Raw genomic sequence first — 25,457 nt, forward strand, 5'->3', positions numbered from 1 at the left:
TTTCTTAAATCCACTCCACTTCACCAAACTCCTCTTGCCAATTATACAATTGGATCTTAGGCCCCACAAAAGTGGAGCTACTATTCCTAATGTTCCTAAAAAATGACCATTCTGCATTTTCCCTCCAATCTCCACTGCCTCTATTTTTGGAAAAAAATTTCATCTTTGAAAAAGCATTTAAGACCAACTTTTTTTCCCACTCTGGTGGGAAAAGAAATATTGCTGAATGCAGAGGACAACTACATGAATTCATACTACTTGCTCTGGCAATATTCCCAGATCCTTATCCTGGAGCATTTGTGGTAGTTGGGAGGATGGATTTTCTAGCAGTATATAGACTGAATGTGTATGTCCCCCAAAAATTCATATGTTGAAACCTAGTCCTCAACTGTGTAGGTATTTGGAAGTGGGGCTTTGGGAGGTAATAAGGCCATGAGAGTGGAGCCCCATGAGTGGAATTCCTACCATTACAAAAGGGTCCCCAGAATTCCTACCATTACAAAAGGCGCCATTGCAAAAGACACCCTCATCCCTTTTACCATGTGAGGACACAGCGAGAAGGTGCTGTCTATGACCCAGAAAGTGAGTCCTCACCAGCCACTGAATCTGCCTTGATCTTGGACTTCTGGTGTCCAGAACTGTGATCAGTTTTTGTTTTTTACAAACCATGGGTACAGTCTTTTGTTTTAGCAGCCAAAGCAGGTAAGATAGGTGATGCTGGAAAGTAATGGAGATGTCCACAAACACCCTGAATCATGTACTGCTTCCCAACCCCCTGTCCTCCTAGCAGAGACAGCAGGAAAAAGAAGGCTTACTTCCTCCAGATTTGATGCTCTTCTACCCACAGTAATGACAGACAGGTTGCCTTATATTTTTATTGTGTTTGGTTCATCTGATCAATTCACAAATTGCTCAAATGTCAGAAAAATGGGTCAAAGGGCCAGTTTGGATTTCTGTGGTAGAAAAAGAAAATGCAAAAGACTAGATCCTGGTGTATTCCTAGACTGTAAGAAAGTTCTTATTTTACAAAGCCATAAATAAATATGACATTTCTGGTGCCTGAGAATTTGAGGCAGGTAGTACTCCCGTGAAGTAAGATAATGTCTTATGTAAAATAATAAATTCATTCAAAACCATGGGAATCATTGTAACTTTCATTGTCAAGAAAGAAACACATAATTTTGGATGTAGGTGAACACTAATTATTAAAGATGATTGTTCTCAGAACAAGTTTATTCCGATTTGTAGCTACAGCAATCTAAGAGAAAAGCAATACAGCAACCACAACCAATATGAGGCTTCTTATAATCATGTTGGGGTGGGGATGCTTCTTCTCTGTCCTACATCCTGAGAATGACTGAAGGTTTCCTCCTGTCATGCGATCTTCCCTTCATTTGCTATATTCTAGATTTGCTAGTCTAGTGCACTCACTCCAGGAACTCTGTACTTGTACTCAGCATTTACTGGGTGGTGTATATCTGTCACAGGTTATAAGTTTCATGAAAAGCATGTATCATGCCTCCCTTTTTCCTCATGCACGCATGCAGCAAGCCAATTAAGGGCATAAAACACAGCACATAAAGCCCTCCATTGATTGACTTAAATTAATTTATGAACAGTTGCAAGGGTAACTGAGGGCCCACATGGTTTTCATGTATCATTTAAAAAAATTTTAAATAATGTGATTTGATTTTTTATCTATATTCTTATTCTATAGAAATTAATCTATCATATTTCAATAGTAACATGGTTGACATTGAGGTTTAATATAATATGTTGGAACACACATGATACCTTGATTCTGAATCAACACTGTATGTGCAATTTGATGTCTGATGTATGATTTGGGGCAGTTTGAAGACCAGACATTTCTTTGTACTGAGCCTCTCCCATTCCCTGTGTGTGAAGGGAACCGTGGGAATAAATCAGTCTTCAATGGATAGGACAGTTGCCTTTGTCCCTGGAAGGTTTCATCAACTGATCACAGCAGTCTGTTTTTCTGAGTCAAGATGCAACTTCCCCTTGATGTAGGACACTACATATAGTGTAGTGTGCTATTCCATATCTATTGGAATCATCACACATGATCAGTCAGGTTTAATGTCAAGTCAGGTTTAATGTCAAGGGTGTGATAGATAGAAATGGATGCAGATAGTCTTGCAAATTTAGTTGAACCCTCTCCCAGCATCTTCTGCTGGCCTCAGTGACTATCTTCTTGAATAGAATGTTCTGGGAGTAATGATTTGGGACTTCCAAGGATGGATTATAAGGAACTATTAAGCTTCCATTTAGGACATTTGGAGTGCTGATTCTTGTGACATTTCCTTTTGGAACCCATACCTCATGCTGCAAGTGTTCAAGCCCCATGGAGAAGCTATGCATGGTGCTCCAATCAGTAGCTTTTGCTTCATTTCCAGTTGACAACCAGCAGTGCCACCATGTGAGTGACCCATTAAGGACATCCCATCTGATTGAGAACTCCTATCCCTTAGCTAACTCAGGAACTCTCAAGAGAGAACTTCTCAGCTAATCCCAGTCAACTCACAGAATTATGGGAGATCCTCATAAAAGAGTGTTTGAAGCCATACATTATGGGCATGTTTGTTACACAGCAATAGCTAACCATTGTTACACAGCAATAGCTAACCAGAGCAGGCATTGAAACCAGAAGTGAGGATCTCTTTCAACAGAAACCTAAAGTAAGTGGTGTTGGATTTGAGGCCAAATGGTATATGGAAGCTAGAACCTCCATGGGGCGAGACAAAGGGCTTAAAGAACAAGGAAAGAAAATTGGAGGCTGGGGCATTGGAACTGATGAAGAGAACTCTTTGAATGACTGACTCACAACAGTGAGCACTTTTCTCACTATTGGTGAGAGAAGTAACCTTTTGCATTGTGCAACTGCATGCAAACTGGATTTTGTCTTTTGAAATAGAAAGATGGCATCTCAACACATTTGTCATGTGTAGTTCCTAATAAGCTTAATACTTAACATAAAGTTCACAGGCCTGTGTTATTTATAATCTTAGTATAGTATAGTTTACACTGGATGGCAAAAGGTCACATATACAATGACAATAATAGATTCTTTTAAAATTTATTTTGGTTACACTTAAATGTAAATTGTGAACATCATTTCTATTTTCTATTATACCCCATGGCTTTTCTATTGTTTGAGTCATACTAAGTCTATTTTTATTGCATAAATTTTGCAACATATATTCTAACAGGAAAAATAAAATTATAAAACATATGTTTTATATATGTCTTTCCTTTAAACGTGAGATTTTAACTAGGTTTTCTTCTTCTCTGTTACTATGCATATGTCTTTTTATTCTTTGGATCAATATATTCCCACATCCCCTGGAACATTTTTTGGAAAGTTGGCAGTGCTCCTATAAATTCTTTTTAGTCTCTATCTGCCTGACATATATTTAGGTTCCATATATATTTATCATTTTCTACTTAAATATACATATTTCCATTTTTATGCTCATGCTATTCTGCAAATGTCTGATTTTTAAGGATGAGACATGCATTTAAAAAGGACATCTGTATCTTCTTTCAGAATATTTTTTCCTTAATATGTGTTACTTTCATATTTGAAATTTCATACCCACAAACATACACATACAAACATGTGTGCATAATATACATCTCACAGAAATATCCACCACTTTGGGAAAATGTCATTTCTGTTGAAAATGTCTTTACAGCCACAAAATATATATTATTTCTTGGCCTAAGCCACAGATCCTCTGTCACCACTATCAATTCATCCCCAGGGTCTAATCACTTGAAATTAATATTGTTTCTTTGAAGAATTTCAGAATTAATTTTTTTCCTCAAAATTTCATGAACTTGCATGCATTTTTTACCTCAGACCTTGAACACTCTGGACAAATTCCTTTATCCCTGTAAATTTTTTAACTAATTCTAAACAAAATACCTTTGTTCACTTTTCCCCTAAATTTGCTAACTTTCATGCATTTTGTTTTGTGACTTGAAAATGCTCTGGAAACACTTCTTTATGCCCATGATTCTTTAATTCTAAACAAGCTACTTTTATCAATGCTGACAAGGTTGTAGAGAATAGGAAATCCTTATACCATATTGGTGGGAGTGTAAATTCTTTCAACTATTGTGGAATGCCGTGTGATAATTCCTTAAAGAGCTAAAAGCAGAAATACCATTTAACCCAGCAATCCCATAACTGTGTATATACCCAAACAATTAGAAATTGTATCAAAAAGACACATGCGGCCGGGCGCGGTGGCTCACGCCTGTAATCCCAGCACTTTGGGAGGCCGAGGCGGGCGGATCACGAGGTCAGGAGATCGAGACCATCTTGGCTAACACGGTGAAACCCCGTCTCTACTAAAAATACAAAAAATTAGCCGGGCGTGTTGGCGGGCGCCTGTAGTCCCAGCTACTTGGGAGGCTGAGGCAGGAGAATGGCGTGAACCCGGGAGGCGGAGCTTGCAGTGAGCCGAGATTGCGCCACCGCACTCCAACCTGGGAGACACAGCGAGAATCCGTCTCAAAAAAAAAAAAAAAAAGACACATGCATGCATATGTTTATTGTAGCACTATTCACAATAGCTAAGACATGGAATCAACATAAATGTCCCTCAGTGTAGACTGAAGAAAATATGGTACATATACATAATGGAATAATATGCAGCCATAAAAAAGAACAAGATCATGTCCTTTGCAGGAACATGGATGAAGCTGCAGGCCATTATCCTTAGCCAACAAATGCAGGAACAGAGAACCAAATACTGCTTTTTCTCACTTGCAAGTGGGAGCTAAAGATGAAAACACATGGGCACAGAGCAGAGCATAATAGACATTGTGACCTATAACAGGGCAGAGGGTGGGGAGAGGGAGAGGATAAGGAAAAATAAGTATCAGTGTACTAGTCTTAGTACCTGTGCCATGAAATAATCTGTTTAACAAACCCCTATGACAGTAGTTTACCTATATAACAAACCTGCACACATATCCTTGCACCTAAAATAAAAGTTTAAAAAAATACCAGCATCCACTACATGTATGGACAGTTTTCTTGGGTTTCACCTCAGAAAACACTGCTAAAATTCAAGATAAAATTACTTTGATTACATGGGTTAATAATAGCTCTCTGTGTGTGTCTTAGTCCCCTCTCTGTTTCCTATGTGTATTACTTGATTTCTAAATAAACTGTAGAAGCTCCAAGTACTTATTTGAATCTCTACATACAATGGTGCCATGTTATCTAATTTTTCCTTTAGGATGTGTACAAAGACTGTACAAAATATTTGAATTGTGTAATGGTATCCAGTATGGATAATAAAGGATAAGTAAATTTTTGAGAAGTCAGTTAAGTCCGGGCGCGGTGGCTCACGCCTGTAATCCCAGCAGTTTGGGAGGCCAAGCGAGCGAATCACGAGGTCAGGAGATCGAGACCATTCTGGCTAACACGGTGAAACCCCGTCTCTACTAAAAATACAAAACATTAGCCGGGCGCTGTGGCGGCTGCCTGTAGTCCCAGCTACTCAGGAGGCTGAAGCAGGAGAATGGCGTGAACCTGGGAGGCGGAGCTTGTAGTGAGCTGAGATCGCACCGCTGCTCTCCAGCCTGGGCGACAGAGCGAGACTCCGTCTCAAAAAAAAAAAAAAAAAAAAAAAGTCAAAAAATAACAGATGCTGGTGAGGTTGCAAAGAAAAGAGAACACTTACACAATATCGGAGAGAGTGTAAATTAAATCAATCATTGTGGAAAGCAGTATAGTGACTCCTCAAAGAGCTAAAAACGGAACCAAAAAGAAAAAAAGAAAAAAAAGAAAAGTCAGTTGAAATGTAATAGATACATAGATGTCTAATTTTTCAGTTCTGAACTATGGACATTTTTGCAAAGATACATGCTTTTCACTTCAGGAGGTATTTGTCAAGGTCTGGAAAAAATTTTGGCTGCCACAGCTAGATTATGGGAGTGAGTACCACTCGCATTTCAAGGCCAGAGGCCAGAGATACTGTTAAGCCACCCACAAGGCATAGGATAGCCCAGCACATTAAATAATCTTCCATCTACACATGTCAATATTCCTGAGGTTGAGAAACCCAGATCTAGAGTAATATTGATGAGCAGTAAGTATAGGCCGAAGCCTCGTTTTCCATATGGCTGTGATAGATTTTTTAAAATAGTCATTGGAAGAAATAAACCCTCGGTTCTATGGAAGTCATAAGGAATATTCTGCCTGTGTGCTTGTACAACCTTGGCTTGGAGCAGCGGTGGATATAATGCAAGTGGCTTTGCAGAATCACGGGGTTTTCTACAGGTCATTTCATCACCCAGGTATTAAGCTGAGTACTCATTAGTTATTTTTCCTGATACTCTCCCTGCTCCCACCTTCCACCCTCAAGGAGGTCTCAGTGTGTGTTACTCTCCTCTATGTGTCGTTGTGTTCTCGTCCTTTAGCTCCCACTTATAAGTAAAGACATTCAGTATTTGCTCCAGATAGTTGCTGGAGGCTATTATCCTTACAATCTTCTATATTAATTACAATGGGGCATCTCCTGAATTTCAGAGGAATACTTGTTTCCTGATTCCTGATGTATATACTATCAGCATATACATAAATACATAAATACATGGCTGTGAAATCACATAAAGCCTTTACTTCCATACTTGACTTCCTGCAGAACCTCCACATTTCTTATGAGCTTCCATTTTTCTTTCTTCTTGGCATTTATCATTACTTAATGAGAGGTTTCCAAAGTTTAGAGTAGTACATTAATTACCATTTCTCCTCTTCCTCCTCCTGCTCCTCCTCCTCTTCCTCCTCCTCTTCCCTTTCCCCTTACTCTCTTTCTCCCCCACCTTCTCCTCTTTCTTCCTCTTCTTCCTTCATTATTTATTTATTTATTTATTTATTTCTGAGACAGCATTTTGCTCTTTCACCCAGGCTAGAATGCAGTGACACCATCATAGCACAGTGCAGCCTCAACCTCCTAGGCTCAAGCAATCCTCCTGTCTTGGCCCCCCAAAGTGCTGGGAATACAGGCATGTGCCACATGCCAGACTACTTTTTATTTTTATTATCTTTTTTTTAAGAGACAGTCGTGCTCTCTTGACCACGCTGGTTTTGAACTCCTGGGCTCGACCAGTCCTCCTTCCTTGACCTCCCAAAATGCTGAGATTACAAGCATGAGTCACCATGCCTGGCCTTAAATTGTGTATCTTCTAATTGATGTAGACTTTTATGCCCTATTTATTTGTGCTTTGAAGTGAACTGATTCTGAATGTCAGTGCTAGAGCACTGCTTAGTGTTTGGGGGTGGTTAGGCAGATATGCAAGTTCTTAGAGCATAAAGCTGCTCACTGCTCCCAGTAGAGGGGCTGCAACTGTTTGGAGGGTTTTAGAATACTACCATTTGTGAGTTATGTATGAAGTTAGGGAAGCCTGCTACTCCTGATTAGACTGGCAACAACTTTTTGCATTATAAGACAACTGAAATTTCATGTCCAAGCCAGGTGATCTGAGCTACCCCTGTTCATTCCAGATCCAGGGCTGGTGAGGCAAAATGGTATCCCCAAAACAGATGGGTCTCTTTACTGAACTTCTGGGTTATCTCCACCATGTAGAGAAGATATAGAATCATGCATTTATAAACTGTATGGTTGAAGATGGCACCCACAGTTACATTTTTCTCCCAAACTTCCCCGGCCTATCTCAGTTCTTAGATATATTGTCTGAGGATTCCTGATTAGGCATAGAGTAATGAGGAAATTTTCTCCTTAGATGATTATGGCAAGCTGCTATAGGCCTGTTATTTATCCTCAGTTAATATGGATATTCTAGTAGGAGGGCACAGTAAGGTAGGAAGAAATGGTCACTCTGAATTCAAAGTATCTCTTAATTTAGAAGGCAAGTTTACCACTCTGAAAGTACTGAGAGTCTCAAATTTCACGTAAGCATATTTTTGAGCATTTTCTACAAATCCTCATTTCTTCAAATCCCATCCTTTGCAACCTCAAGTTTATCCGGAGGATTCACACTGCCTGCAAGTCCTTCTTGTATGCATTTCTTGTTGTTTCTGTAACAAATTATCTCACCTGTAGTGGCTTAAAACACACACATTTATTATATCGCCATTGTGAAGTTCTGTAGTCTGAGTAGCTTGGATGGTTTCTCTTCATTGTCGACCAAGGCTGAATTCAGTGTGTTGGCAGCAGGGTAGTGTTTCTTCCTCCATATTCCAGGGATGCGTTCACTTCCAGAAACATCTGGGTTGTTGGCTACATTCAGTTCCATCAGGTTGCGGGTCCTGCTTCCTTGCAGGCTATTGATTGGCTGAGGGCAAATTTTGGCTTCTTGAGGATCGAAGCATTCCATGACTCCTGGCCTCCTTCCTCATTCTTCAAAGCACAGCTTTTAATGTTCTGAATCTCTCCAACTACCTTTTCTACCTCTTCTGTCCTTTCCCTTGTCATATGGCTTGTCTGACCTGATTGTTCTGTCACTGTTTTCTTGGTTTTCAGTATCATACAATTGTATTGGACACATTTGGTTATTCTAGGATAATCAGCTTATCTTAACATCAGCTGACTAGTAACCTTAATTGTATCTGCAAAGACCATTCATAACAGTACCTAGATACATGTTTAACTTAATAGCGAGGGGAATAAGAATCTTGAGTGGTGTCTTTATAATTCTGTTTACCACACACCCATCCGGGTGGACAGACTCCTTACAACTGGGTTTGAGTACTCAGAACAATGGCCTTCCATCTTTACTCACCCAGGGAGCTCCTCCAGGGAAAGCTCATCTAAGTAAGATCTCACCATCATTTTCATGCCCTTTCTTTTTTTTTTTTTCTTTGTTGTTTTGAGACAGAGCCTTGTTGTCTCTCCCAGACTGGAGTGAAGTGACATGATCTCGGCCCAGTGCTACCTCCACCTCCCAGGTTCAAGCAGTTCTGCTGTTTCAGCCTCCTGAGTAGCTGGGACTACAGGAGTGTGCCACCACACCTAGCTAATTTTTGTACTTTTAGGAGAGATGAGGTTTCGCCATGTTGGTCAGGCTGATCTCAAACTCCTAACCTCAGGTGATCCACCTGCCTCAGACTACCAAAGTTCTGAAATTATAGTCATGAGCCACTGTGCCCAGCCTCTCCTGATCTTTTGAAGTCCAAGTAATAATCCTCAGGTGGCAGTGCACATAACTGTGGAGAATTAACCACTCCTCTCTGATGTTGCTTGTACCCACCGCAAATAATTTGTCTATTTATTTTTACTTTTATTTTCATTTTTTGAGACAGGGTCTCACTCTGTCACCCAGGCTTGAGTGCTGTGGTGCAATTAGAGCTCACTGCAGCCTCGACCTTCTTGGCTCATGTGATCCTCCCACCTCGGCTTCCCAAGTAGCTGGGACTAAAGGTGCATGCCACCACCCATGGTTAATTTTAATTTTTTTTCATTGATACAGAATCTTGTTCAGGCTTGTCTTAGAACTTTTAGGCTCAAGCAGTTCTTCCATCTCAGACTCCCAAAGTGAGCCACTATGCCTGGCCTATTTGTCCTTTTTAATTTAAAAGACTCAACATGTAGAAATAATTTTATCCCTTCACCTTGTGCATTAAGAGCTTCCTTTTTCTTGCAGATGGCTGAACTGAAGCACCATAAGTGATGAGATGACATTTTGTATTTTTACACACATTCCTGCCCTTTCTCAGATGAGTCTAGGCTTTCATCAGTATTTAAATGCTAACTTACTCTGGCAAGACATTTAGGTCCAGAAAATAGTTTAAAAAAATAACATCTTCACAGAAAGAACCTCCAGATAGTTAAAAATAGGGGAACTTGTGGATACACCATATTCTGAACAATTAGTGTTGCTAAATAAACCACATTATTTTAGGTTTTTCTTCCTGATTTTTTTTTTCTTCCTTGTGTTACTTTAATTCTGGAACATAACTGGGCACTGATAATACTACAGCAGACCCTTATCTCTTTTCTTTATTATGACTGGAAATCGTAATTAGAAAGATGGATAAAAATGGAAAAGCTTAATGACGTATGCATATTTTTATAAGACAGAAATATGGAAAGATACGAGCAATAAAATAATTCAGTTTAGAATAGGAAGGGTTATAAAACACTTTTTAAGCAGAAAAGGAATCAGAGAATGGCACTTTATAATATAGTAATTAAGCCTATTTATTTGATAAAATTCAAATGTCATGTCCTCTTTGTACCTATGAGTGCACATTAACAGTAACCATAAAAAAGAATACTTGGAGCTACAGATATGTGTGTGTGTGTGTGCATCTGCACCTGTGTCTTTGGGTGTGTTCCATCTGATTTGATTTTTCACCATATCTCTATTTTTGCACTCCCAAATGTAAGTATTTAAGTGTTTATTATATAAAATATTTTTGCATTCTTCCTCCCTTCACATGCAGTGATTTACAAATTTCCTATCTGACTATTTCCATCCTGCAAACCCCCAGAATACTGTGGCTGAGGTACTCCTCTTTCTGTTCCCTTCTCTATATAGGTGGAACATCTTCTGGGAACCATCTTCCATCTATAAGTTTCCCATTCACAGAGGTGGCTAAATCTGTAGCATGCATCCATCCATATCCAATAGTGTCTTTACATGGGTGGGTTGGATAATGCAAAACCAAGCTTCAACGTCAATGGTGTGAGAAGTACACAAACACACACACACAAATAAAAACATGCATAATCTCTGTAGATCAGAAGGGGATTGTCCAGAGTTAATATTAATGTACACTCTTAACTACAAAGAGGTCATAACATCCAAATTCCGTTAAGTACATTGACTAAATTACTATATTATAAAGCTCCCATTCTCTAATATCTTTTGTGCTAAAAATATTCCCAAGCCATGTTGAAGATATCTTTCAACAGTTATGTTTCCTAAAAATATGCCTAGATTGTTAAATGTTCACTTCTTCATGTGTTTTTCTGGTTACGATTTTCAGTCATAAAGATGAAAGTGACAAGGGTCTCAGCAGTGTTTTACCTCTAAACCTAATACTGACCCTAACAGAAATTGAAACCTTAAAACTAACCTGTGGCCTTTGACCATTGCTTCTTGATCATTGAGCTGACCCATGACCCTGAACAGAGAATGAGAACTTGAACCCAAATTTTAATCTGGACCCTAACTAATGACTGGATATGAAACCTAATTCTACCCAACCTTGAAAATGAATCTAAATTTAGACTCAAAACCAAACCCAACCCAACACCTACTTTAACTTCAATGTAAAATTTTGAACTCACCCTTGACTTTTGCCAGTAACCCTTGACTCTTGACCCCTGATTTGAACACTGAAGGCATCTACCAAATTCTCTAACCCACAGACTTTTGATCCTAATCCTGACCTTTGACCATTGTCCCTAATAACGAATATAATCCCTTGATCATAATATTGACTTGTGCTCCTACCCTGACATTCAATTAGTGATCTAACCATACCCCAAATTGAACTTGAAGCCAAATCCTAACATGAACCTTTATCAATACCTGAAACCCGTCCTAACCCTTGATCTTTGATCTTTAACCCTCTGTGTTTTGCTCCTTGACTCCTGACTGTGAGATCCCAGCCTGGACTAAAATCCAAACACACACTCAACATCATTCTTGACCAGAATTGTTACCCAAACCTGAACAGGAACCCAAACCCTTACCCTACCCACTTACAAATCTGAACACAAAACCTCTACCTATTCTGAACTTGGGGATTTGAGTGTCTCGGTCCTGTTTGGTAGATGCGGAGTTTGCAGGCCTTCAGTCATGGTGGACACCACAGACTTGAAGAAACTCTCCAATATATTTTTTGGGAAAAAAAGATGCAACCATTTGAGAGCAAGATGTTAAAACATTCATCCTCAATCTCTGTTTGTACAGACTTCAAGGTGAAATACATGTGGTTGGACTTGTGATATTTCCAGCCACAAAATTGTATCATGTAGAGATAATGTAGGTTTCCCTGTCTCTGAAAATGCATTTATTCAACCAGTACTTACTTGCTCCAGAAGTGCACCAGGGACCATTTTAGGCCCCTGGAGGCAGCCATAAGCAAAACTTCCCAGATCCCTACCTATGGAATCTCTGCCTATGGAATGGACATTGTCATAATGGATGTAGATAAGAAATATCCTGGACTCAAATCTGAACTTCAGTCACGCTGGAAGTCCAAACTCCTGCCCAGACATGTTTTCCTATTACTCACAGAGGATAGGTGAGGACTCAGGTTAATTAAGGTGGTTATTTTTGTTGCCAGTTTTATCTAATGTCCTTTGTGGATGATGTGTTTTTCACTTGGAATACCAACATGAGAGACTGGGCCACTTCTCAATTCAGAAATCCACTCAAGGCCAGGCATGGTGGCTCACACTTGTAATCCCAGCACTTTGGGAGCCAAGGTGAGAGGATCGCTTGAGCCAAAGAGTTCGAGCCCATCCTGGGCAACCTGACTAAAGCCTGTCTCTACAAAAAGAAAAAAAAATTAGCTCAGTCTGGTAGCACATGCCTGTAGTCCCAGCTACTCAGGAGGCTTGAGGTGGGAGGATCCCTAATCCCAGGATGTCAAGGCTGCTGTGAGCTATGATTGCACCATTGCACTCCAGCCCAGGAAATTGATCCTGTCTCCAAAAAAAAAAAAAAAAAAAAAAAAAAAAAAAAAAAAAAAATTCAACTACATGTAGAAGAGAGAGAGAGTGTGTGTGTGTGTGTGTGTGTGTGTGTGTGTGTGTGTGTTCATTAGATTTAACTGAGGATTTAAGGAGAAATTTGGAGGCATATTCTCATATGGGAAAAATAGGAAAATAAACCTTCTAAAATCAACATCTAGCCCTTTTGCTGATGACCTTTTGGCTATCCTAACATAAACTTTTCTTCTGAATGCTTCAAATCTCAACTCAGCAAATCCACAATGAGCTATAGGAAATTCACGATCTCTTCTTTTCTTTGGATTTCACCCGCCGCCATTCATGATTTAACAAATAATTCTTTGAAAGGCAGTTCTCTTTCAAAGATGAGTTTTGCTTCTCTGTGTTAAAATAATAAATATGTGTCGCTGTTAAAATAGTTTTGCATACATGAGGGAACTCCTTTAGAAGCTTTATTGGGTTTCTTAGCTGTGCATGCAATTTGAATAATTACTACATAGCAATTCCAGTAACATAGCCAATACATCAGAACCCTCAGGGGAGGCAGCCAGGAACTTTCTTGCAAAATATCCCCCACATCTTCATCCCTCTCTGGAGACCACTGGTAAAATTTACAATCGGTAATAATTTCTACAGACATGGCAACTGAGAATGGTAGAACATTAGTTTTAAAAATCATTTTAATAAAATGGCTTTATAAATATTGAGACTTAATTATTTAATTTGTTCCAGTTAATGAAAGATTTCATTTGGCACAAGACTAGGACAAATTAGAATACGTATAATTTTCTTCATTCCAGACAAACAATTATTTTAATGTCTACTGGTACTTAGACCACAAACTTAATTCATTGATTTCATAGTATTAGAAAATATAGAGTGAGAAAATTGTTAGCAGGGCACAGTGGCTCACGCCGGTAATCCCAGCAGTTTGGGAGGCCGAGACGGGCAGATCACAAGGTCAGGAAATCGAGACCACCCTGGCTAACACGGTGAAACCTCGACTCTACTAAAAAAACAAACAGAGAAAAAAAATATATAGCCGGGGGTGGTGGTGCACTCCTGTAATCCCAGTTGCTCAGGAGGCTGAGTCAGAAGAATGGCCTGAACCCGGGAGGTGGACCTTGCAGTGAGCAGAGATCATGCTGCTTCCCCGCAGTCTGGGTGACAGAGCGAGACCCCATCTCAAAAAAAAAAAAAAAAAAAAAAAAAGTTAGAAGTTGTTGAACAGCTGGATTTGACCTAAAATTACTCCAAGAATGTATCATTTTTTATGCCTCAAGCTGTTTTGTGCAGTTCTATTTTCAACTTCCATAGACAATTGTAATCTTTTATTTTTGTTTTCTTATTAGAGAATGTTTCATGATATGGATGTGAATAATTAAATGAACATCTTTCTATGTACAGCTTGAATTTAAATTAGAACATGATGGAGATTTTTGGATTCCCTTTAATTCCTGTTATAAATTGTATTTCTTTAAACCTGCCCAAAGGGTAACCATCTTTCTGAAACCAATTCATTATTTCCTTCTTTTACTAAATTTTATTTCTACAAAATTAGCACTACCAGCTTAACCTAAAGAATATATTGTCATCTGCTTTTGTTCTTTTATAAATGTCATTCTGTGTTTTTCTTGACCTAGCACTTCCTTTTTCATTGAATGGTATGTTTTTGATATTCAACCATGAAAATTCTTGGAGCTGTAGTTCATTTATGTTCACTGATATGAGAAACCACACCCTATGGTTATTCCACAAGATATTTAACTCTTTCAGAAGCTGGGTATTTGAATTGGCCTTATGTAAACAGTTCAACTGTTAGTATTCTGTGTATATCTTGTTGAAAAAAAATGAAGTTTCTCTACCTAGAAATAGATTTACTGGACTATATTTTATATCCATATTTAGATATGCATCCTGATGTCAAGAACTGTTTAAGTGGTTGAACAGTTTTATTTACCCAAGAACCATATGAAAGTTTCTTGTTCTTACGTTCACTATACTGAGTCCAAAGTTGAATAGAAATGAAATTAGCTATCTTTGATTTGTTCTGTCTTTAGACAAAAGGAGTTTTAAAAAAAATTTTATTTTGAGACAGTCTTACTCTGTTGCCCTGGCTAGAGTGCAGCGGCATGATCTTGTCTCACTGCAACCTCTGCTTCCGGGGTTCAAGCGATTCTCATGCCTCAGCCCCCTGAGTAGCTGCCACTACAGGCGTTCACTACCATGCCTGGCAAATTTTTGTATTTTCAGTAGAGATGGGCTTTCACCATGTTGGCCAGGCTGGTCTCGATTTCCTGACCTGAGGTGATCTGCCTACTTCAGCCTCCAAAAGTTCTGGGATCACAGGTATGAGCCACTGCATCCAGCCAGACAGAAGTCTTCTAATGTTTTATCATTATGTATAATATTTGGAGTAGGATATAAATGAACTATCTTTTTCACATAAATAAATGTTTATCTCCTTAATTTGATAACATGAAACCATAAATTCATTAGAGGTAATTTTTTTTTCATCTTTTAATATTTTCCTTGCTTTGTGTTTAATTTGTTCATGTAGTAAATTAAATAAGTTAACTTTCTAATATCAAGCTTAGTTTGATATTCAGTATACTCTTTAATATCATTTTTGTATTTGTTATATATTAATCATTTTTGTATCTCTGTACTAAATTGGATAGGCTGTAATTTTCCTTATGTTAGGCTTCTCTGGTTTTAGCCTCAACTTAATAGTAGCTGTGTAGAAATAGTAAGAAAACATTTCTGCTCTCTGGGAGAGTTCATATAAAAAATTCCTTAATTAATAGGTGGTAGACTTGCTATTCAGTCCACCCTGGACAGATGATGTCTTTGATGTAGTTAAAAACATCTTTTATTTCCTGCTTGATTTGTGGGCTTTATTACGTATTGATTTCTTATATATATTAATAACAACATGTTTGCCTGTATCTGTCTGTTAACACTTTATTATGTTCTCTTTTTTCATTTGTCTGTTGTCTGTATACATTTTGTTAAACTATTGTAACAAATTATGAGAAATGTAGTAATGTAAAAGAGCAACCATGTAGTATGTCATGGTTCTAAAGGTCAGAATTCTTGGTGCAGTGGAGCCTAGCTTGGTCCTCTTCTTAAGGTCTTCCATGGGTGAAATCAAGAGACTGGCAGGGCTGTATTCCTCTCTGGGGGCTGGAGGGATGAATCTGTTACAACATGTAGATTTTTAAAATCTAAGTATTTGCACTAACTTCTGATTTTACCATATTAGATCCATAGGGTGAATTCCTATTTCTTGATCATTTGAGTCTTAGAGAAGCTTGATTTCCGTCCTACAACATCGTTAGATTATTACAGATTTCTTATCTGCTTTAAACAAGGGGTTTTTCTCTGTTTTTTGTCAAGATTAACATAATATTTTCAACATGTATTATACTTGAGTTGTATATTGTGAGTATATAAGTACACACAATGAACGACTCTTCAGCCTTAAAAAAGGAGTAAATAAGAAATAGGCCGGACGCGGTGGCTCACGCCTGTAATCCCAGCACTTTGGGAGGCCGAGGCGGGCGGATCACGAGGTCAGGAGATCGAGACCATCCTGGCTAACACAGTGAAACCCCGTGTCTACTAAAAATACAAAAAAATTAGCCGGGTGAGGTGGCGGGCGCCTGTAGTCCCAGGTACGCGGGAGGCTGAGGCAGGAGAATGGCGTGAACCCCAGAGGGCGGAGCTTGCAGCGAGCCGTGATGGCGCCACTGCGAGGCTCCATCTAAAAAAAAAAAAAAAAAAAAAGAAAGAAATCATGTAATTGGTGACAACACAGATGTACCTGAAGGACATTATGTGAAGTGAAATGAGCCAGGCACATAAAAACAAACACTGCATGATGAAATGTGAAATCTAAAGAAGTCAAACTCACAGAAACAGAGAGTAGACTTGTAGTTGCTATAGGCTGGAAGTTGTGCACATGGCGAATTTTGGTCAAAGAGCATAAACAGTTTTTTCCTTCCTATAATATTATTTTCTTAGGTTCTAATTTTTGAGCTATTGGGATTTTCACATCATAATTTTTTGGTCTTACTTATGCTTGCATATCTTTTACTACTCTTGAATAATTTTAGTCTTTCTATATCTTTTGGCTTAAAATTTGTCTCAAATTGGTTGCATTTTTCATCTTTGGTTTTGTTACAAACGTGTGATTGTCTGGAATTTTTAATTTATGAGTTCAAAACATTTATGTTTGTTGAATATTAATTTTACTAAGGCTTAGTTTGCCATCTTGTTTGACATGTTCAATTTAGTTACTTCAGAATAAGCATAATATAACTGTATATTTTGTCTTTGAAAACATCAGTTTCCACCTGTCATTTAATAGATATACTTCTACTGGATTTAAAACTATATTCTGTTTTTTGTTCTTACACTGTTGTTGATCATAACTGAGCACAGATACTGCTACTTATTTTCCCAGTTTTTTTTGTTTTTGTTTTTTCTTTTCTTTTTTTTTTTTTTTTAAGGCGGAGTCTTTCTCTGTCCCCCAGGCTGGAGTGCGGTGGCGCGATCTCAGCTCACTGCAAGCTCTATCTCCCGGGTCCACGCTATACTCCTGCCTCAGCCTCCCGAGTACCTGGGACTACAGGTGCCTGCCACCATGCCCGGCTAATTTTTAGCATTTTTAGTAGAGACGGAGTTTCACCATGTTAGCCAGGATGGTCTCGATCTCCTGACCTCGTGATCTGCCGGCCTAGGCCTCCCATACTGCTGGGATTGCAGGCCTGAGCCACTGCACCTGGCCCTTCCCAGTTGTTTTTATAAATTTAGCAACATACTATTGGTTTATACCAATTGTGTCCCATTTCTATATGAAAATCAAAAATATATAGAATACATCAAGGGATTTGTTGACAGATCTGATAATTTCTGTAGCAGTCCTCTAACAAGACAAACATTTTTCAAACATGCATCTCCTTTTAGTCCCACCACTGAATGCCATTTAAGTAGATAGTTCCTAGAATTTAAGTTCTGGGCTGTTATCTATGTATAATTGTTGCATTCTTTTTTACCCATTTTAGCCAAATATAAATTATAAATTATTGATTGTCCCTGCATTTCATATATTTTCCACAATTCTTATCAAAATACTCATATTCTTTCATAGGTGTTTTCTCAAAAATATTTTTGAGTCATTGAAATTTTGTTTAGCAAAATGTTTGAGTCCCTTTTTGATCAATTTTTTGTTTTTACTTTGCCTATACTATTTGTTTCTAAACAAAAAATTTAAATTCACAGTTATTTTTCTTCCAACTTTCAAATATCACTACTGTATCTGCAGATGTTCTGTGCTATCACTGGAAAGTTTAATGTCAGTCTGATTCTTACTCATTCATGACTCAGCTATTTTTTTCTCCGAAGGCTATTATAATTTTGTATTTGTCTTTGACGTCCTTGAATTTCATAGCAATATATCAACTCAGGGCACTCTATGAGCTCATTCAAAATAAAGTTTTTGTTCTGTTTGTCTGTTTTAAGCATATTTTCATTCATTCATCAACTTAGTTCTTTCTGTTTTTTTCTCTCTTACCTATTATTGATATATCTACCAAAACTGCCTTTCTCTCCTTTATTCTTTCCTGGTGTTTCCTATGAATGTTCTTCCATCTGATCTTCCAATTCAGTAATTTGTTCTTCAATTCTCTCTGTTCTAAGATTTATCTTAACTATTATGTTCTTGTTCATCTTTACTATTACTTATTCCATACTTACTATATTTACCAAGTTATCTTTTAATTCTTATTATAATCTACTATTTGAAATATATTACCTTAGGTGATCAAGTGTATTATTTTGTCTTTTGTAATTTCTTCATTGATCTGTTCCAATAATTATATCTTATGTAGAAGAGTTTTCATCTGTTGAGAGAGATAGAGTTTGGTAACTTTTTTAAATATTCAGGTATATAACTTTTTAAAAAAACATTTAGCCTATATCCTCCTTAGGTGGGTGAAAACTCAACCATCAGCCTGTTTGTAATTGTGGATTTGATATGACTTAAGGCCATGCCCAAGTCTATGTTTATTTTACAAGATTAACATTCAAAAATCACTTTTAGGTTACTCTGGTGCACTGAAAACCTGCAAGGAAGGCTTCTTATTTGAAATGTGCCTTTAAACTCTAAATGAACTGGCATTACAAAGAGGCAGCCTCTTTAACATCCTTTCTGGGGGCATGGAGGGGAAGGGGCTGAAGCAGGAAAAGCCCATTGTGGCCATGAGTGACTGGTGGCCCTGTAGGTTTTTAGCCGACTCCTCAATGCATCTGAGTTTCCCCTAGGCTTACCGAAATCCTACTACCTGATGGCTGCTGTAGGGTTCTATGTTGTATGGAGAAGAGAAGATGGAAGGGAGATTAGATAATGATTAACTCAAGACATTTTTGCTAAGAGACAAGAGTGAACCTAAGACTTTTCTTTCAAACTGGCATCGTTGTGTTACCACTTCCACCCTCTGCCAGAAGGTTTAGCCACCCCCATCCGCCATATATACATGGTTCTTCAGGTTGTACTCTCTGCAGAATGGCTTATAGTTTACTGCTTTTATGTTCTGTTATTGCTCTTTCAGTAGATCGATGCCTTCATTTTCTTAGCCTCTGTAGTTTCTCAAATGTAGATTTTTGTGGAGGAAGCAGCATTCTGTTCTATTCACCATCTCAAAAGAAGCATAAATCTTTTTCTTGATTTATTAGTATTTTTCCCAACCCATCAAATAAATCTGTACTTCTACCACCCCCCAGACTTTGCACTGAAGAGGATTGAGAAATGGTGAAACACTTAGCTATTGGATAGCTTTTTTCATTCCCACAGACCTCATCAGTTATTGTTAGCTAATATACCCATTAAGAAAATTACCGAGGAAACACCACATACATCCTTATTAATTCATCACTTGTCAAAATCCTTCTAAGCACCTTTCATCTATTTCTAAAAACATTCCAAATATTTCAGGGACAATTTCCTAATATTTTGGTTTTGAATGTCACATAGTTCATCTATCATCATATATGATAGCTATAACTACAGAAACCAAAATATTAACTAATTCTTAATGACAATTAGGATAATGAAGGATCTATTAGAATTGCTCTGGGTGTCTTTGATTGTCATATGAATTTTTAACCAAAGGCTTGTATGAGTTCCAGAGAGCAAACCCACTACATTTTCCCTGCCCTGACTTCCAGCCCATCACTATGTAGATCCATTGTGGAGCTTTGTTACTCCTTTGTAGTGTATTAAATTCGAGGATATAATATCATCTGATTATGGATGAAAGTAATGGGACACTTACTGCCATGAGAGCCCCTCGTGACAGGTGATAGTTGAACCAGAAGTTTAAAGACCTGTGGCAGACAGGAGGGGGTAAAACAATAGGACGCAGGACCCAGGAATACATTAGGGAAGGCAACAACAGTGAAGGAAGAGCTAGAGTAATTGAAAGGCTGATAAACATATTTGGAGCCAGTTCTTTTTATGCTATCATTAAGATAAAATCAGTAAATCAGTAATCCTTGCCTGGTGGATATTTCTTCTTTGCAAGAAAAATGTTTTAACTAAAGGAAGTCATTTTTGATAATTTGATTTATATACATACATATATCCTCTGTACAAATTGCCTCCAAGCACTTTGGGGACAGGAGAAGAGGGGAAACCTGTGAGATTGATAGATGCTAGATAGATAGATAGATAGGTAGATAGATAGTTAGGTTAGAGATATAAAGATATATTCTCTCTATATATATATTTTTTCTTTGTCTCTCTAAAGACATGATTAGGAAACATTCTCTTGCTATATATAAGTATATATATTATATACATACTTACATATTATATATAATTTATATATAAATGTAATATATATTATTTGTATCATAAATATAAATATATTTTTATATACACATTCTCTCTACAAATAGAACATATCTATCGAGAGAGACATATGCAGTATATGTATATGTGTATGTGTATGTATATCTAAAACAAAGAAACAATATAAACACAAAATCCAAATGTCAAGTGGAAGAAAACTCTAATCAGCTACAAGGGACAATTAGAACATCTGTAAGAATAATATGTGTACTGGATTTAAAATGATAAAGACATTAAAATGCATATATTCATCATGATACCCAGAATAAAACTCACTGTTAATATTACTAGGCAATGATCACATTCTCCTGGATCTTGATCAATAAAAATTATGATTTTTCCTACATTTGGAATAAATACTGAATTTCACAATAACTAAAAAATTGATGATTACAAGTAAAATTCCAGATAATATATGCAGGAAAAACAATAGTATAAGAAAATCATTATTTTGTGAAACCCCAAATTAAGCTAAGTGTGTGAGTCTGTTCTCACACTGCCAAAAGAACTGCCCGAGACTGGCTAATTTATAAAAGAAAGAGGTTTAATTGACTCACAGTTCTGCAAGGCTGGGAAGGCTTCCAGAAACTTTCAATCAAGGCAGAAAGGGAAGCAAACATGTCCTTCTTCACATGGTGCCAGGAGAGAGAAATCAGGTATACATTATAATTTATTCCTCCTGTTTTTTTTTTGTTTGTTTTTTGTTTGTTTATATTTTCCAAAAATAAGAGGCCATATCCAACACAGTGAAGCAAAATGAACAAAGACGTTCAAATACTGAAGTTGAGCATAAATTTGACTTCACAATTTCTGTCAGATGAACCAAAAAAAAAAAAAAAAAAAAAGAGAGAGAGAGAGAAACATTTGATTCTGGGATTTTTATTTCCAGAAAGAGAAAGTTTTTCTCTTTTTCTTCTGATTATTGATTAAGAGTAGTTATGAAGTTGGAGATAAAAGGAGAAGATGGCAATGATTGTTCCTTGTTCTTTCTTTCTGCAGTGGCTGTCAGCTTCACTGATGATATTAAGAATAACACAGCAAAGCCTGACTGCCTCCCTAAAGACAGATACTTCCATTACGTGTGGCGGTACCCTTCACTCCTGAATCTAGAAAATACTACTTGGGCCATGTTAAGTTTATTCTTAAAAGCCTAACATTGTGTAGCTACAGCTGCCCAACAAATCTGCCCAAAGCACTGTTCCCCCAATTGTGAATATGCATACAAATAACTTTTCAGTTTTCATGCCTACTCCTGGATCATACCACCAGACATTCTGATTTGGAGGTCGACTGTGGAGCCTATGCAATTTAAAATTTTACAGACTACCCAAGGTTATGTGAATATATCCCGAGATAGCACAGCCTTCCCAGGCTGTTGGTGCCATAAGGACTTGGAGAGATCACCCTCGCTTACCCACAAACAACTTGCAGGACTAAGAAGAGTGCTTAATGAATATGTGTTCAAAAAATAAAGGAATGCACCTGTGCTTGGAGATACCTGGAGAGCTCTCTCTCTCTCTCTCTTCATCTCCCCTCTGTATCTCTCACTCTTTCTCTGGCTCTCGTTCACTCTTTCTCTCTCTCTCTGATTCATTTGCTATGCCGCTGAGTCATACAGTGAGAAGCAGCTTAAGGTCATTAAAAGGTTGAAGCATCATGGGAAAAAGTGAACATGTTTTCATTTGAATCTCTATTTTTAACTCTTTCTGAACTTGAGACTGTTGCAGTGATAATGAAATAAGCCTATGGTGGTTCTTGGAAATCATTTTAGACACACAAATTTCTAACATATATAGAGATAATATGTAAGATCACATTATATATAAAGTCACATAGAGTAAGTATAATATATAATCATATATAATTATAAAAAATTACATATAAAAGTATATTATATATCATACTTATATATTCATATTATATAAATATATAATATATATTAATTATCTATAATTTTAAATATATTTAAATTTAAATAAATTTAAATTAAAATATAATTTAAATATAAATTATATATGTAATTATATATTATACATTATATTATATATAAAATATATTTCATATTATGGAAATATATTTTATATATTACATATTATATATAATATATAAAATTGTATATTATATAAAAATATATATCATATATAAAATATAATGTATAATTATATATACTTCATTATATAATATGAAATTATTATATGTAATACACACTATATATGGTATATAATATATAACATAATTTAAATATAAATTTTATATAATATATAATTTTATAGAATACATTATATACTATAAGTATATAATTATTTTACATATAATATATTATATATAAAATATAATATAATATGTATTGTATATATTTATATAATATTTTATATATAGAACATAATATAAATTTGTATATGATGTATATCATATAGTATATGTAATTATTATATCTAGTTTATGCTATATTGTATGTAATTATATATAAAATATAATTTTAAATATAAACTCTATATGATATAATTTATATATTATAATATATGATTAGATAATATATAATAAGTATATATACTTAATATATGTGATCTTGTTAAGTATAATACATATATTATATATAATATATATTATATGTATATAAAATATATTAAACTTACCATATATGATCTTGTTTGACATGTCTTTTTGTATAGAAAAGCACTTAAATTACCCCTACTTCAGCAATGAGGATGTTGTGTTTAGGCCAAAAGGCAATATAAACACAACTTGCTATTAAAGTTTTTTCTTAATCATCACTACCACTGAACCATTAATAAGTATTTTCCTGCACAAGATAATAATAGCATCTCACATTTCCATGGTACTTTATAATGCCTGAAGCTCTTCCACATTCATAATTTTGTTCATGTCATAGAAAGAATGAGCTTTAGTAACCTCTTCCATTTAAGGGGATCACAGAATGAGTAAAAGCCTAGGGTGCAGTTAGAAAAGAACTAGGTTTCAGTCATCTAGACATGGTTCTAGGACTCTTGAATGCATGTGTAACTCAGGCTGAAAATCCCGGAAGATACATCCCCATCCCAAGAGCACCTACACAATTTCAATAACCTGGTTACAACTGATGCACTTTGGATATTGCACTCTTCACAAACATCTATCCAAATCTAACATGAACTCACATCAGAACAACTATCGAATCCCCACTCCTACCAAATATTCACGTCTGGTATTACCACCAAAGCCTGAAGCACCCTGACAACATGTGTCCAGATGTTGTTGAATTTTTTCCATCCTGACTGCCTCTCACCGAAAGCCAGAACCAACTTGCTCCTGGATGACTGCAGTGGACTTCTTCCAAAGGCAGCCTCCTGCAGTCACATCCATCAGTGCCTCTTATGGACTTCACAAAACCATAAATTCTATCACATACTGCTATCTTCCCATTCTTATGTCTTGTCATTGTTTTATAATAAATTCCAACATTTTAGTCACTTTTCCAAGTGTGAAGTCATTTATGCCTACCACTGTAATACCATTCTTTCACATTTCCTTAGTCATGATGAGTCAGTTACACTGGGAATCCTTCTGTTCTCCTCACCCTTTAAAGTTCCTTTTGGAACTTTGAAACTTATAATTCTTTTCAGGAATGTTTCCCTCTTAACATCTTGTGGCTGCTTCCCTGTCATCATTTCCTTCCATTTCTACCTTTTCAGAGAGGCTTTGTTTAGAAGAAAATATAGGAGCAAATCTTTGCCAGCTAGGCTTATGAAAAGTTTTCTTACATAGAACACAAAATACAAGAACTGTAAGAGAATGTATTGATTATGAGGACTTCAAGGCACCACGAAGAACTCAGACAAAAAGCTTCAGATTCAGACAAAACATTTGTAACTAATAGAGCAGAGAATTGACTTGCATCTTGAATATATATAAATATCTCCCAACTCAATTGTTAGGCAAGCGCCCTATAGAGCAGCACTCCTGAACATTTTTGACATCAGGGACTGGTTTCACATAAGTCAATTTTCCCATGTCGGTGGATGGTTTCTGGGTGAAAATGTTCCACCTCAAATCACTAGGAATTACATTCTCATCAATAAGCACACAACCTACATCCCTCGCATGTGCCGTCTCAATAGGATTTCCGCTCCTATGAGAATATAATGTCACCACTTAACTAACAGGAGATGGAGCTCAGGCAGTCATTTGGGTGATGAGGATTGGCTGTAAATACAGAGGAAGCTTTGCTAGGTTGCCTGCAACTCCCCTCCTGCTGACCCAGTTCCTAAAAGGCCATGGACCAGGCTTTGGTGGTAATACAAGATGTGAATGTGTGGTAGGAGTGGGGATTCAATGGTTGTTCTGACGTGTGTTCATGTTAGACTTGGATACATGTTTGTGAAGAGTGCAATATCCAACGTGTGTTGGTTGTATCTGGTCCAGTACTGGACCATAGCCTGGGGATTGGGGATCCCTGCTGTAGAGGACAGAATAACAAACCCCTATGTATGTTCACATCCTACGTTTTGTGGCAAGAAGGTCTTAAGTGATGTGATAAAAGACTTTAAGATGGGGACAGCATCCTCAAGTATCTAGGTGAGCTCAATGTAATAGAAATATCCTTATAAAACAGAAACTGAAACTTTGAAACAATAGAAAATCTGAAGGTGAAACAGAGGTCAAATAGAGATTAAGGTGCTGTGCTACTGGCTATTAACGTGGAAGAGGGGTCCATGTGTTGGAAGCCTCTAAAAGGTGGGAGAAACAAGGAAATAGTTCCACAATTGTACGCTGCAGAAGGTACCAGCACTGAAGAAGCATTTTAGACCTCTGATTTCCAAAACTATCAGATACTAAGTATGTGTTGGGTTAAGCCA

The 25,457-nt window shown here is 37.0% G+C and overlaps 1 protein-coding gene and 1 long non-coding RNA gene across 23 annotated transcripts in view; one reads left to right on the forward strand and one right to left on the reverse strand.

Annotated features, from left to right (window-relative positions):
- Positions 1-25,457, forward strand: part of NLGN4Y (neuroligin 4 Y-linked) — a 323,039-nt gene that overhangs the window by 257,502 nt on the left and 40,080 nt on the right. The gene's annotated exons all lie outside the window — the stretch shown is intronic.
- NLGN4Y-AS1 (NLGN4Y antisense RNA 1) lies at positions 13,525-23,916 on the reverse strand. Its single transcript, NR_046504.1, has 4 exons — positions 23,888-23,916; positions 21,159-21,227; positions 18,505-18,592; positions 13,525-13,870 (listed from the first exon to the last, which is right to left on the reverse strand). It is a non-coding gene; the product is annotated as an NLGN4Y antisense RNA 1 (long non-coding RNA).

The sequence above is a fragment of the Homo sapiens genome, chromosome Y (assembly GCF_000001405.40).
Source record: "Homo sapiens chromosome Y, GRCh38.p14 Primary Assembly".
NCBI lineage: Eukaryota > Metazoa > Chordata > Mammalia > Primates > Hominidae > Homo > Homo sapiens.